This window comes from Homo sapiens, chromosome 1 (genome assembly GCF_000001405.40).
Source record: "Homo sapiens chromosome 1, GRCh38.p14 Primary Assembly".
NCBI lineage: Eukaryota > Metazoa > Chordata > Mammalia > Primates > Hominidae > Homo > Homo sapiens.
In genome coordinates, this window is record NC_000001.11 from 45,707,965 (window position 1) to 45,723,997 (window position 16,033).

A 16,033-nucleotide genomic window follows, 5' to 3' on the forward strand; every position below is an offset into this window, starting at 1 on the left:
CATATGGAGGAACAAAGACAAAAATTACTACTGACTACTTGTCAGAAAAAAATCTAAGAGGAAATTAAAAAACATCTTCAGGGTGATTATTTTATTTTATTTTTACTTTTTTTTTTTTGAGATGGAGTCTCACTCTGTCGCCCAGGCTGGAGTGCAGTGGCATGATCACAGCTCACTGCAAGCTCCACCTCCCAGGTTCATGCCATTCTCCTGCCTCAGCCTCCCAAGTGGCTAGGACTACAGACGCCAGCCACCACGCCCAGCTCATTTTTTGTACTTTTAGCAGAGACAGGGTTTCACTGTGTTAGCCAGGATGCTCTCAATCTCCTGACCTCCTGATCTGCCCGCCTCGGCCTCCCAAAGTGCTGGAGTAACAGGCGTGAGCCACCGCGCCCAGCCCAGGGTGATTAAAGATAAAAAAAAGCAACCTAGGGCCAGGCGCGGTGGCTCACATCTGTAATCCCAGCACTTTGGGAGGCCGAGGCAGGTGGATTACCTGAGGCCAGGAGTTCAAGACCAGCCTGGCCAACATGGTGAAACCCCGTCTTTAGGAATAACACAAAAATTAACCAAGTGTGGTGGTACACACCTGTAATACCAGCTACTCAGGAGGCTGAGGCAGGAGAATCACTTGAACCTGGGAGGCAGACATTGCAGTGAGCCAAAATCGCACCACTGCACTCCAGCCTGGGTGATGAGAGTGAAACTCACCTCCAAAAAAAAAAAAAAAAAAAAGCAACCTAACATTCTATACCCAGCAAACTATCTTTCAAAAATGAAGGAGAGTCTGAACGCGGTGGCTCATGCCTGTAATCCCAGCACTTTGGGAGGCCAAGGCAGGTAGATCACCTGAAGCCAGTAGTTCGAGACCAGCCTGGCCAACATGGCAAAACCCTGTCTCTACTAAAACAATACAAAAATTAGCTGGGCGTGGTGGTGGGTACCTGTAATCTCAGCTACTTGGGAGGCTGAGGCAGGAGAACTGCTTGAACCCGAGAGGCAGAGGTTGTAGTGATCCGAGCTCGTGCCGCTGCACTCCAGCCTGGGCAACAGAGCAAGACTCCATCTCAAAAAAAAAAAAAAAAAAAAGGAGAAAAAAAAGACAGTTTCAGAAAATGAAAGCTAAGAGAAGTTCATCACCATCACCACCAGACCTGCACTGGAAGAAATATTAAGAGAAGCTCTTTGGCTGGGTGCGGTGGCTCACACTTGTAATCCCAGCCCTTTGGGAGGCCAAGACAGGCAGATCACGAGGTCAGGAGCTCGAGACCATCCTGGCTAACAGAGTGAAACCCCGTCTCTACTAAAAATACAAAAAATTAGCCAGGCTTGGCAGCATGTGCCTGTAGTCCCAGCTACTCGGGAGGCTGAGGCAGGAGAATGGTGTGAACCCGGGAAGCAGAACTTGCACTGAGCCGAGATCATGCCACTGCACTCCAGCCTGGGCGACAGAGCAAGACTCCGTCTCAAAAAAAAAAAAAAAAAGAGAAGCTCTTTGAGCTAAGAAAACATGATGTGAGATAGAAATGCAATTCTACACAAAAGAGTTAATAGAACTAGAAATAGTAAACATATGGGTATTTATAAAAGACATTCTCAACTGGGCACGGTGGTTCACGCCTGTAATCCCAACACTTTGGGAGGCTGAGGAGGGCAGATCACGAGGTCAGGAGATCATGATGGAACCCCATCTCTACTAAAAATACAAAAAAATTAGCTGGGCATGGTGGCATGCACCTGTTGTCCCAGCTACTCGGGAGGCTAAGACAGGAGAATTGCTTGAACCCGGGAGGCGGAGGTTGCAGTGAGCCGAGATCACGCTACTGCACTCTAGCCTGGCGAAAGAGAGCAAGACTCTGTCTAAAAAAAAAAAAAAAAAAAGAGAGAAGCTCTTTGAGCTAAGAAAACATGATGTGAGATAGAAATGCAATTCTACACAAAAGAGTTAATAGAACTAGAAATAGTAAACATATGGATAATTATAAAAGACATTCTCAGCTGGGCGCGGTGGCTCACGCCTGTAATCCCAGCACTTTGGGAGGCTGAGGAGGGCAGATCACGAGGTCAGGAGATCATGATGGAACCCCATCTCTACTAAAAATACAAAAAAATTAGCTGGGCATGGTGGCATGCACCTGTTGTCCCAGCTACTCGGGAGGCTAAGACAGGAGAATTGCTTGAACCCGGGAGGCGGAGGTTGCAGTGAGCCGAGATCACGCTACTGCACTCTAGCCTGGCGAAAGAGAGCAAGACTCTGTCTAAAAAAAAAAAAAAAAAGAGAGAAGCTCTTTGAGCTAAGAAAACATGATGTGAGATAGAAATGCAATTCTACACAAAAGAGTTAATAGAACTAGAAATAGTAAACATATGGGTAATTATAAAAGACATTCTCAGCTGGGCGCGGTGGCTCACGCCTGTAATCCCAGCACTTTGGGAGGCTGAGGAGGGCAGATCACGAGGTCAGGAGATCATGATGGAACCCCATCTCTACTAAAAATACAAAAAAATTAGCTGGGCATGGTGGCATGCACCTGTTGTCCCAGCTACTCAGGAGGCTAAGACAGGAGAATTGCTTGAACCCGGGAGGCGGAGGTTGCAGTGAGCCGAGATCACGCTACTGCACTCTAGCCTGGCGAAAGAGAGCAAGACTCTGTCTAAAAAAAAAAAAAAAAAAAGAGAGAAGCTCTTTGAGCTAAGAAAACATGATGTGAGATAGAAATGCAATTCTACACAAAAGAGTTAATAGAACTAGAAATAGTAAACATATGGATAATTATAAAAGACATTCTCAGCTGGGCGCGGTGGCTCACGCCTGTAATCCCAGCACTTTGGGAGGCTGAGGAGGGCAGATCACGAGGTCAGGAGATCATGATGGAACCCCATCTCTACTAAAAATACAAAAAAATTAGCTGGGCATGGTGGCATGCACCTGTTGTCCCAGCTACTCGGGAGGCTAAGACAGGAGAATTGCTTGAACCCGGGAGGCGGAGGTTGCAGTGAGCTGAGATTGTACCACTGCACTCTAGCCTGGGTGACAGAGCGAGACTCCGTCTCAAAACAAACAAACAAAAAAAAAAAGACCACAACTGGCTGGGTGCAGTGGCTCACGCCTATAATCCTAGCACTTTGGGAGGCCGAGGTGGGTGGATCCCGAGGTCAGGAGATGGAGACCATCCCAGCCAACATGGTGAAACCCCATCTCTACTAAAATAGAAAAGAAAAAAAAAATTAGCCAGGCATGGTGGCGGGTGCTTGTAGTCCCAGCTACTCGGGAGGCTGAGGCAGGGAATTGCTTGAACCTGGGAGGCGGAGGTTGTAGTGAGCCAAGATCACGCCATTGCACTTCAGCCTGGCAACAGAGTGAAAACTCCGTCTCAAAACAAAAAACAAAAAAAACCAGACCACAACTATGTGCTGTCTAGAAGTGCAGTTTGTAAAGACACAGAAGTAGAAGGAAAGAAGAAGATAAAATATACCATGAAAACACTAATGAAAAGAAAGCTTAGAGGCTGGGTGCAATGGCTCACACCTGTAATCCTAGCACTTTGGGAGGCCAAGGTGGGCAGATCACTTGAGGTCAGGAGTTTGAGACCAGTCTGGCCAACACGGCAAAACCCCATCTCTACTAAAAATACAAAAAGTAGCTGGGTGTGGTGGCACATGCCTGTATTCCCAGCTACGTGGGTGGTTGAGGCACAAGAATCGCTTGAACCCAGGAGACAGAGGTTGCAGTGAGCTCTGATCATGCCACTGTACTCTAGCTTAGGCGTCAGAGTAAGACTCTGTCACAAAAAAAAAAAAAAAAGTAGACTTCAGTATAAAGAATATTACCAGAGATAAAAATCAAAGAATCCATTCATTAAGAAGACATAATAAACTTAATGGGTACGCATCTAATAATGGATCTTCAAAATATGTGAAGCTAAACCTGACAGAAATGAAAGGAGAAACAGACAAATCCATAATTATAGATGGACATTCCAACACTCCTTTTTTAAAAACTGACAGAACAATTGTGCAAGTAGGACAGACAAGGGAAGATCTGAATGACACTAAAAAACCAACTTGAGGCCAGGAGTGGTGGCTTACACCTGTAATTCCAGCACTTTGGAAGGCCGAGTCGGGTGGATTGCTTGAGGTCATGAGTTCGAGACCAGTCTGGCCAGCATGGTGAAACCCTGGCTCTACTAAAAAAATACAAAAATCAACCAGGCATGGTGGCGCGTGCCTGTAATCCCAGCTACTCGGGAGGCTGAGGCAGGAGAATCACTTGAACCTGGGAGGCCAAGTTTGCAGTGAGCTGAGCAGCCTGGTGACTGAGCAAGACGACGTCTAAAAAAAAAAAAAAAAGCAACCAACTTGACTTAATGGACATTAGAACACCACATTCAACAATAGCAGAATACAAATTCTTTTCAGATGTACATGACGTATTAATAAGACAGAAGCAATACAAAATATGTTTTCTGATTATAATAGAAATAAATTAGAAGTCAATAATAAAAGATTTATCTGGAAAATCCCCACATATTTTTAAATTAAATAATGTTGTTCTTACAACCCATTAGTCAAACAAGAAATTACCAGAAAAATTTAAAAAAGAAAAAAAAGGCCGGGCACGGTGGGCTCATGCCTGTAATCCCAGCACTTTGGGAGGCCGAGGCAGGAAGATCACGAGGTCAGGAGATCGAGACCATCCTGGCTAACATGGTGAAACCCTGTCTCTACTAAAAATACAACAAAAATTAGCCAGGCGTAGTGGCGGGCATCTGCAGTCCCAGCTACTGGAAGGCTGAGGCAGGAGAATGGCGTGAACCCAGGAGGCGGAGCTTGTAGTGAGCCCAGATCACACCACTGTACTCCAGCCTGGGTGACAGAGACTCTATCTCAAAAAAAAAAAGAAAAAAAAAAAAAATATATATATATATACACACCATCCGCCTTGGGCTCCCAAAGTGCTGGGTTTACAGGCATGTGCCACCACACCTGACCTAAAAAATATTTTAATATAAATGCCAACTAATTAAAAGGCAACATATCAAAATATGTGGGATGAAATTAAAGCAGTGCTTGAAGAGAATTTACAGTTTCTATTATAGAAAAAGGAAGGTCTAAAATCGATCATCTAAGCTTCCACTTTAAGAATCTAGAAAAAAAGAGCTGAGATTGTTGGGATTTGGGGAGCGCAGTGGCTCCGAAAGATCTGTAATGCCAGTGCTTTGGGATGCCAAGGCAGGAGAATCGCTTAAGACCAGGAGTTTGAGATCAGTCTGGGTTACATAGCGAGACCCTAACCATAGAAAAAAAAAAATTCAGCTGGGTGCAGTGGCTCATGCCTGTAATCCCAGCACTTTGGGAGGCTGAGGCGGGCGGATCACCTGAGGTAGGGAGTTCGAAACCAGCCTGACCAACATAGAGAAACCCCGTCTCCACTAAAAATATAAAACTAGCCAGGTATGGTGGCGCATGCCTGAAATCCCAGCTACTCAAGAGGTTGAGGCAGGAGAATTGCTTGAACCCAGGAGGCGGAGGTTGTGGTGAGGTGAGATGGTGCCACTGCACTCCAGCTTGGGCAACAAAAGAAAAACTCCGTCTCAAAAAAAAAAAATTACTCTTTTGAGAGAGGGTCTCTTGCTGTTACCGAGGCTGGAGCACAATGGCTTGATCACAGCTCACTGCAGCCTTGACCTCCTAGGCTCAAGTGATCCTCCCACCTCATCCCCCTGAGTAGCTAGAACCACAGGTGCATACCACCATGCCCAACTAATTTTGTTATTTATTATACAGTCTCACTATGCTGTTCACGCTGGTCTTGAACTCCTGGGCTCAAGCTATCCTCTCATCTTGGCTTCCCAAAGTGCTGGGATTACAGGCGTGGGCCACCACGCCTAGCAGTACAAAAAAAGTTTTTTTTTTAATTAACTTGGCAGGAGTTCAATGTTACAGTGAGCTATGATTATATCAGTGCACTCCAGCTGGGCAACAGAGCAAGACCCTGTCTCTTAAAAAATTAAAAAATAAATAAATAGTCTAGAAAAAGAAGAGCAAACTCAATCAAAAACAAATAGGAAAAATGGAAAAGTAAGAACAGAAATCAATAAAACAGAAAATTGACAATAGAAGAAAAGCAGTGACACCAAAAGTTTCTTCTTTGGAAAGAAAAAAGGGGAAAAAAATCCACGAATGATCAATATCATGAGTGAAAAAGAGTGCATCACCACAGATCTTACAGACATTAAAAGAATATCAGGATACTAAATATCTGAAATCATCCAACCTACCTCTTCAAAGGAATATTTTTCTACAGTATGAAGAGCATCTTGGGTCTCATTCCATCCTCCAACAGAATAGATGCAGTCATTGAGTGCAGCCACACCAAGATATGCTCTCCTGGTTCCCATTGGAGGAAGTGGAGACCAACGCTTAGAAAGTGGATCATAGACTTCAAAAGAACGAAGTTCTATTCCTTCATTGCTGATGCCCCCAATTACATAAATTAAACCTGGAAGTGGAATATTTTTGCTCAGATGCTACAGATAGTGAGATACAAATAATGATGAAAAGTAATGATTGTGATCTATGTTTCCAATGCCGATGCTATGTTTAATCTAGGGCTTACATTATTATTTAAGAGAGAAAATCAACTTTGTCAACTTTATCACCTCACTATTCAGCAAGTTGCAAAAAATTAGTGGAATTAATTTAAAATAGCATTGAGTTTTCAAATAACTTGAAATAATCTGTCAGCTAAGGATTTTCTATCTAATTGTCTGCTTGGTGATCTCAGGTTCCAGATCCACCCATAGATAAAACAGGAAAGGAACATGGATTTTTTTTTCCCTAAAAATGTCATGCACTTAAGCTGGGAATTACATGGCCCTCTTTAGTGACAGCCTATCTGTTGCTCAGATGGACATAAAGTAGGGAATTTAAATTTAAATAGTATATGGCTAAATTAAGATATCAGAATCAATTACTACAGTACACAGCTGGGTGTAGTGGTTCACAATCCCAGTACTTTGGGAGGACAGGGCAGGCGGATCACTTGAGCTTGAGACCAACCTGGGCAAAAAATACAAAATTAGCCAGGCATGGTGGTGTGTGCCTGCAGTCCCAGCTACTTAGGAGACTGAGGTGGGAGGATGGCTTGAGCGTGGGAGGCAGAGGTTACAGTGAGCCAAGATTGCACCACTGCACTCCAGCCTGGGCAACAGAGCCAGACCTTCTCTCAAAAAAAAAAAAAAAAAAAAATTACTACGGTAAAATATAATGTAATTTACATAAAATTTCCTTATAAACTCTGGCAATCTACAATTATTTTTGAATCTCTAGTGTTGTACTTCATCTTCTAAAGTGAGGAGTTACAAAGAATTATATTTTAAGAAATGTGGGCTAGGCCGGGCGCGGTGGCTCACGCCTGTAATCCCAGCACTTTAGGGGGCCAAGGTGGGCAGATGACGAGGTCAGGAGATTGTGATCATCCTGGCTAACACGGTGAAACCCCATCTCTACTAAAAATACAAAAAATTTGCCAGGTGTGGTGGTGGGCGCCTGTAGTCCCAGCTACTCAGGAGGCTGAGGCAGGAGAATGGTGTGAACCCGGGAGGCAGAGCTTGCACTGAGCCAAGATTGCACCACTGCACTCCAGCCTGGGCGACAGAGCGAGACTCCATCTCAAAAAAAAAAAAAGAAATGTGGGCTAAATATTAGTATAGTAAACTTGGGTTTTAGTTCCAGCCTTGCCAGTAACCAGCTATGAGAAAAGATAACTCACAACCTTCCTGATCTTCAGCTTCCTCATCTATAACTTAAAGAAGTTGACATAGATAAGTTCAAAGATCCCTTTCTAGCTAGCTCTATGATTTCAGATGGGATGATAAAAATAATAAATATAAAACAACTAGGAGACAATATCATATTAAACAGTAAGATATAGTCTGCACTGCATAATTTGCTAATGGAAATCAGAGAAGGTAACCACAGAGCAGAAAGAACTTTAGCAGGTTAGGCTGTCATACAACAATGGGAAAGTTGCTTTCTTCTCCACAGGTGCATAAAAATCAGCTCTCCAATCCTACACAGAGAATTAGGTTCTAGTTAAAACAGCTTACTACCTACCTCTCAAGAGTATAGTAGACAATTAAAATAATGTTTGTATACCACTTTAATATGCAACATAGAATCCTTTAAATCTGTCACAGGATTATATGTTATGTGAGCGGCATCACAATGTACTTTGTAGAAAAAAAACGCTAAAGAAGCCTATAGACCATGAAAATAATTTATTTTTATTTATTTTTTGAGATAGAGTCTCACTGTTACCCAGGCTGCAGTGCAGTGGCACCATCTCGCTCACTGCAACCTCTGCCTCCTGGGTTCAAGCAATTATCCTGCCTCAGCCTCCCTAGTAGTTGGGATTACAGGTGTGTAGTAACATGCCCAGCTAATTTTTGTATTTTTAGTAGAAATGAGGTTTCACCACGTTGGCCAGGATGGTCTCGAACTCCTAACCTCAGGTGATCCTCCTGCCTCAGCCTCCCAAAGTGCTGGGATTACAGGCATGAGCCACCACACCCAAAAACTGTTTCTGATACTCTCTCCCTACTTAGAAATATTTACTTAGATGTTCATGGGAGAGAAAAGACAATAACAGATAACACTTCAAATGTTTATTGTGCTAGTCAGATATTCCTGCTTACTTACAATTTTTAATTCTAGCCTTGTTTATTTCTGAAAAAATCAAATCAATTATTTTAGCAATACAGAAATAAAAGTCAATGATAGGAGGTAAAAAGCAGAACTTCTATGCTGCTAGTATCAGTCATTCAATACTAACAGACTTAAAATATACTTTTGTGAAAATAAGGCCTCAAACTCAAACAGTTTTTCAGAACTACATTTTGAGGAAAAATATTTTATAAAGTGATTACCTTGCATTTCACAGCACCCAAAGTAGTAGCGTGACACAGCCATGTTACCAACTACTTCCCATTTATTTTCATCAGGATCAAATCGTTCAATGGTGTTCCCTATCTCAGCTCCAACCCATCCACCTGTAATGAAATAGAAAAATGTTTGTTTCCGGGATAAAAGATTCTTATTTATGACAAAGACCTTAGAAAACATCTAAACCAAATACTTCATATTATAGATATCACATGAGCCAAAGAGGTTATCTGTTCCACGATCCCATGAAAAAGTTAGAATTTGACCATGAGTAGAACTCAGGTCCTTTGCATAACTGATGCTCTTTTGAGAAAAAAAAAAAAAAAAAAAAAAAGGAATTCAAGTCTTTTAACTCCCTATTTTTCACTAAAGACTAAAACAAAACAAAACAACAAAAGCCCCAAAACTTCAATATATTGCATGGAAAAGATGGTATTTTGCAAAACTACCTTTTGAAATTACTTCTGGCTATTTAGAATGTTTATCCTAATCAAGGCCAGCTCCAAACCTAATCAGAGTATACCGTGTATTTGGTGTAATTTCAGGAATTTCAAAAAGGCCCCTTATCCCCACAATAACATTTTCTTAACACTCTCCAATTCTTTTTTTTTTTGAGATGGAGTCTCACTGTGTCACCCAGGCTGGAGTGCAGTGGTGCAATCTCGGCTCAGGCTCAGTGCAAGCTCCACCTCCTGGGTTCATGCCATTCTCCTGCCTCAGCCTCCGGAGTAGCTGAGACTACAGGCGCCCACCACCACGCCCAGCTAATTTTGTTTGTATTTTTAGTAGAGACAGGGTTTCACCATGTTAGCCAAGTTGGTCTCGATCTCCTGACTTCATGATCCGCCCGCCTCAGCCTCCCAAAGTGCTGGGATTACAGGCGTAAGCCACCATGTCCAGCCAACACTCTCCAATTCTTAAAACTGAAAATATTATTTCCCACAATTAACTGAAAAATGCAGATACTTATGGAGGTAATAAAATATAATAGATTAAATTCACCTTAAGGTAACTGATATTTTTTCCACAATAGGTTTGGATGAGGGGAAGACACTGAGTTACAGTGAACTGAAGAAGGAGTGAGAAGGAGAAAATAGGGGAGGCTGAGAGCTACATCAACTTATAACTTTCCCTAGGAACAACCTTGATTGTAACATTTGTTACACAGATAATCAAAGTAGAATACCTTGCTCATAATCATTCACTACATATACAAGAATAAAAATAATATAGTACAGAACTTCCTTGTGATATATTTAATTTTTTGGTATGTGCTTTCTTATATTAGACATAATTAGGCCACTATGCAGGGTGGTAAAAATGTTATATGCTTAATTAAAATAATGAGATTTAACTACTCAGCTAAAGTACTTCACTGGATGTCTCATCTATATTTTATCTCCAGTAATACAATTTTGAGAATAAGAATTTAAAGAGCTGACAAGTGCATCTACAGCATACAGTAGCTCCAGAGATACCTGCAGAAGAATGTGTGTGACTAGCAGCTTGGTCAGCCAGCCAACTGGCCAGGCAGGCATCTACCATCTGCCCAAGAACTGATGCATCTGCCCAACAAGGCTCTGCCCTGCAGGTGCTCAGGTCCTCCTGTACCATCCCCCGCCTGAGTGCCTCCTTAGGATGGACAGCCCAGGAGCACCCCCTCCAATCCCTGACCAGCTGACCCCCACCTACACCTTCCCCTAAGACCTTGCCCAGCCTCCAGAGTATACAGATTAAAGCCAGTTGGTTTTTAAAAAAAGAATGTAAAGAGCTGAAAAGAGGGAAAGAACATCTCCAAAGTCATCAGAACCCAATAATTTAAATAATATTAGCTATCTTTATAAACATTGCATATTCTCACTTCTTTGTGGGATCTAAAAATCAAAACAATTGAACTCATGGAGATAGAGAGTAGAAGGATGGTTACCAGAGGCTGGGAAGGGTAGTGTAGTGGGGGTGGGGAGGGAGGAGGTGGGCATGGTTAATGAATACAAAAAAAAAAAAAAAAGAATGAATAAGACCTAGTATTTGATAGTGCAACAGGGTGACTATAGTCAATAATTTAATTGTACATTTAAAAATAACTAGAAGAGTATAACTGGATTGTTTGTAACATAAAGGATAAATACTTGAGGAGATGGATATCCCATTTTACAAGATGTGATTATTACGCATTATGTGCCTGTATCTCATGTGCCCCATAAATATATATACCTATTATGTATCCACAAAAATGAAAATTAAAAATACATAAACAATATTAGCTATCTTTAAACTGAACAACATAATTACCCAAAGCATAGATAGCCCCATAACACACACACACTCCTAAGCCGCAGCGGGGATGATTCATCGAAGCTACAGTTGTCCACTGTTTAGTAACTGGATCATAGCATTCAGTACAATCAAAAATCATTGAATCCTTTTCACCTGAGTTAAATAAAAGAGACAAATATTATAAAGTTTAGTAATGCCAACAGACTAGCACCATAACACAATATTCAGTAGTATTCCCTATCGTCAAAAATTCAACCATTATGTCTGATTTTATACTATTCATTAACTTTCATTTGCCTGTCAAGCAGTATTTTGAATCTAGAGCACTGTCATTTATTAAAGCCCACTTATGAAACAGAGGCACAATTTTCCTATTATCTATTTCTACCACCCAAACAATCAAACAATCCATGTAATGTTTTAGGATACAATTTGCATTTTAACACTTCTATATTTTTTTTCACATATTAGTTTTGGTGGCTGGCCCTGGTACAATTTGAGTTTTAATGTAATCCTTTTCTAACAACAAACAGAAAATGAAATTTTTCTTTTTTTGGAGACGGAGTCTCGCTCTGTCGCCCAGGCTGGAGTGCAGTGGCACAATCTCGGCTCACTGCAAGCTCCGCCTCCTGGGTTCATGACATTCTCCTGCCTCAGCCTCCTGAGTAGCTGGGACTACAGGCGCCTGCCACCGCGCCCAGGTAATTTTTTGTATTTTTAGTAGAGACGGGGTTTCACCTTGTTAGCCAGGATCACAAGATCCTGACCTCGTGATCCGCCCGCCTCAGCCTCCCAAAGTGTTGGGATTACAGGTGTGAGACACCGCACCCAGCCTGAAAATGAAAAAATTTTAAAAAGATACCCAAATTTTCATGTTTTTGATATTTATTTATTTATTTATTTTTAGAGACAGAGTCTGGCTCTGTCACCCAGGCTAGAGTGCAGTGGCACAATCATCGCTCACTGAAGCCTCAAACTCCTGGACTCAAGCGATCCTCCTGCCTCAGCCTCCCAAGTAGCTAGGACTATAAGCATGTGCCACCATGTCCAGGTAATTTAGAATTTTAAAATAAGATATTTAGGAGTAAATCTAACCAAAGATTATGCAATGCCCCTATGGATAACATTTATAAATTTTATTTAAAGTTTTAAATTGTGGAACATCTAAATAAATGAAGAGATGAATAATGCTCATGAATTATAAGAGTCAATGTATCATGAAGATTTTTGTATTTAAAAAAAAGAGTCAATGTAAAGATGATAGTTACCCCATATTGACTTAAAGATTTAATGTATTCCCAATCAAAAAAATCCATTTTTTAATAGATTTGACAAACTGATTCTAAAATTTATATGGAAGTACAAAGGGCCTAGAAGAGCCAAGCATTCTCGGAAAAGAATAAGGAGAAACAGTCTCATCATATATCAAGACATATAACAAAGCTATAGTAATTAAGAAAGGGATAGACAGAGACTAATGGAACAGAAAAGAAATTCTAGGAACAGAAACGTACCTATATGATTACTTGATAGAAGACAGAGTTAGCACTACAGAGCAGTAGGGAAACAACAATCTTTCATGCTAGAATAATTGATTATACATTGGGAGGAAACTAATGCCCTACTGCATATTATCCATAAAAACTCAATTCCAGGTAGATTACTGACATAAGTATGAATGGAAAAACTATAAAACTGTATAAAACAATGAAGGTATAGGTCCTTATGATTTGGAGTAGGGAAAGATGTCTTAAATAAGATGCAAGAAACATTAACAATAAAGGGAAAAAAATAAGAGATTTGACTACACTAAAATTAAAAATATCTGTTCATCAAAGGATACCATAAAGAGAATAAAAGATGAAGCAGCACAGTAGAAGATACTTATAGCACATATGACTTTATGAGGGTCTAGAATCCTGAATATAAACAAAATTCCTATTGTACAGAAAATAATTAACATAGCAGGCCTAAAAATGCCTGTCCTTAGAAAGGCCTACTTGGAAGATTGACCCTTTGCTGGAATCTGGGAATATGGCTGGTTAACAGTTCCCTCCACTGATACAAAATTTTCCCAAAATGGTAAGAGTGGCTCACTGTGCTTAAACTGTACAAACAATGTGGTTTATGCTGAACACACGCTTTCCTTCTGAAGGTCTGGAATTTTGGTATGTGCTAGGAAGAAGGAGGCTATGTCATCAGCTGCCTGCAAAAACCTTGGGCACTATGTCTCTAATGAGCTTCCCTGGTAGACAACACTTCCCACATGTTGTCACAACTAATTGCTGAGGAATTAAGCATGTCATGTGTGACTGTGACTCTACTGGGTGAGGACTCTGGAAAGCTGTCAACTGGTTCCTTCCAGACTTCATCACATGTGCCTTTTCCTTTGGCTGATTTTGTTTTCTACATTTCACTATAATAAATCTTAGCTGTGGAGACAATTACATGCTAAACCTTTTAAGTCCTTTTAGCAAATCACTAAAACTGGGAGTGGTCTTGGGAACCCTGATGCACCTACAAATCAACAAAATAGACAATTTTTAAAATGCACTAAGTATCTAAAAAGTTACTTCTTGAAAGAAGAAATCCGGCTGGGCGTGGTGGCTAACGCCTGTAATCCCAGCACTTTGGGAGGCCAAGGCGGGCAGATCACGAGGTCAGGAGTTCTAGACCAGCCTGACCAGCCTGACCAACATGGTGAAACCCTGTCTCTACTAAAAACACAAAAATTAGCCAGGCGCGGTGGTGCGTGTCTGTAATCCCAGCTACTTGGGAGGCTGAGGCAGGAGAATCACTTGAACCCGAGAGGCAGAGGTTGCAGTGAGCCGAGATCACGCCACTGCACTACAGCCTGGCACAGAGTGAGACTCCGTTTCAAAACAAAAAGAAACAAACAACCAACAACAACAAAAAACTGGCCAGGCATGGTGGTCTATGCCTGTAATCCCAACTACTTGGGAGGCTGAGGCAGGAGAATCACTTGAACCCGGGAGGCAGAGGTTGCTGTGAGCCGAGACTGAGCCACTGCCCTCTAGCCTGGGTGACAGAGTGAGACTCCGTTTCAAAAAATAAAAATAAAAATACAGGGTGGTGGCTCACCCTGTAATCCCAGCACTTTGGGAGGCCAAGGCGGGTAGATCACCTGAGTTCAGGAGTTCGAGACCAGCCTGGCCAACATGGTGAAACCCCATCTCTATTAAAAATACAAAAATTAGCCAGGTGTGGTGGTGCATGCCTGTAATCCCAGCTACTTGGGAGGCTGAGGCATCACTTGAATCCAGGAGGCAGAGGTTGCAGTGAGTCGACATCGCACCACTGCATTCCAGCCTGGGCAACAGAGCGAGACTCCATCTCAAAAAATAAAAAAATGAAATAAAAATAAATATTTTATGTAAGTAAAAAGCAAAAAAAGAAAAAGTTAATAACAATATATATCTCAAAAAGTTAAATATAGAGTTACCATATAACCTAACAATTCTACTCCTAAGTATATACCCAAAAGAAATCAAACTTACATCTACACAAAAACTTTTACTTGAATATTAAGTGGAAACAATGTAAATGTCCATCAACTACAGAATGAACAAACAAAATATGATTATTTCCACACAATGAAATATTATTCAGTCATAAAAAGAAATGAAGTACTGATACGTGTTATGACATGCTAAGTGAAAGAAGTCAGACACAATATTATATGATTCCATTTATATGAAATGTCCAGAATAGGCAAGCCATAGAGACATAAAGTAGATTAGCGGTTACTAGGGTTTAGGAGGAGAGATGGGAAGTGACTGCTGATGGGTACAGTGTTTCTTTCTGGGGTGATGAAATGTTCTGGAATGAGATAGTGGTGACAATTGCACAACTTTGTGACTATGCTAAAAACCACTAAACTATATTCTCTAAATGATGAATTTGGTATGTGAATTATATCTTAATTTAAAAAACCCAACATTTAGAATATGAACCCAGATATGTATGTATCGGGAAGAAACTAAACCAAAATGTTAACTGCGATTATTCTGGGTGGTATGATTATGGCATAAGGGATTTAAAATTTCTTTTTCATATGCTTCTGTTTTAACAAAATTTTGTACAACAAACCTCAATTACTTTTATAATTTTAAAAGTATTTAAAAGTTATATATTAAGGAATATCTTAAGATAGCAATGTTGACAGTATTAATAGCTAGTGAAGTCATAGCAGTTTTGAAGAGCCTCTGTAAGCACTTCTGTGGTATCAGGGGATGGAATACATACATATGCAAGTGTCACAGAAGGACCTCTGACCCTAGGTTAAACAGAAGAGTTCAAGTGATAAAACTATGCATAATTGACAGAAGACACATAAAAGGAATTATTAAAGTTGTAGTCAAAGACTATACAGAATTGTGCTCTTTATGCAGACAGGAAGTTATTGCTTAAAATTCTAATTTCCTTGTTGGAATTTTCTGTTGCACATGTCATTTCTTGATTTAATAAACAGTTCTGAGTTATATACCCTCCAAAGTAAAGATAAAAATCAAATAGTTCCTATATCACCATAATTTAAACTGACAGTACCACAGTCAGAAAATATTTATACAATTTTTGGGTGGGGATGACTCACCAAACCCTGGCCCACTAAAAAATAAATAAATAAAATAAAAATAAAAATAAATTAATTACAATTTTTTTTTATATACAGTTTGGGTGCCATGGCTCACATTTGTAATCCCAGCACTTTGGGAGGCTGAGGCAGGAGAATCACTTGAGCTCAGGAGTTCCTCTCCCTCTCCCCCTCCCCCTCCCTCTCCCTCTCTCC

At 40.8% G+C, this 16,033-nt stretch overlaps 1 protein-coding gene across 5 annotated transcripts in view; it reads right to left on the reverse strand.

Moving 5' to 3' along the window:
* IPP (intracisternal A particle-promoted polypeptide) overlaps positions 1-16,033 on the reverse strand; it is a 56,330-nt gene that overhangs the window by 13,641 nt on the left and 26,656 nt on the right. For 4 of the 5 annotated variants that reach the window (NM_001145349.2, XM_047419673.1, NM_005897.3 and 1 more), the window contains exons 6-8: positions 11,239-11,376; positions 8,931-9,053; positions 6,282-6,502 (exon numbers count right to left, since the gene is read on the reverse strand). In NM_001145349.2, coding sequence (NP_001138821.1) covers positions 6,282-6,502; positions 8,931-9,053; positions 11,239-11,376 — 482 coding nt within the window. The remainder of the gene's footprint in view (positions 1-6,281; positions 6,503-8,930; positions 9,054-11,238; positions 11,377-16,033) is intronic. The other variant, XM_006710623.5, reaches the window with a different exon arrangement.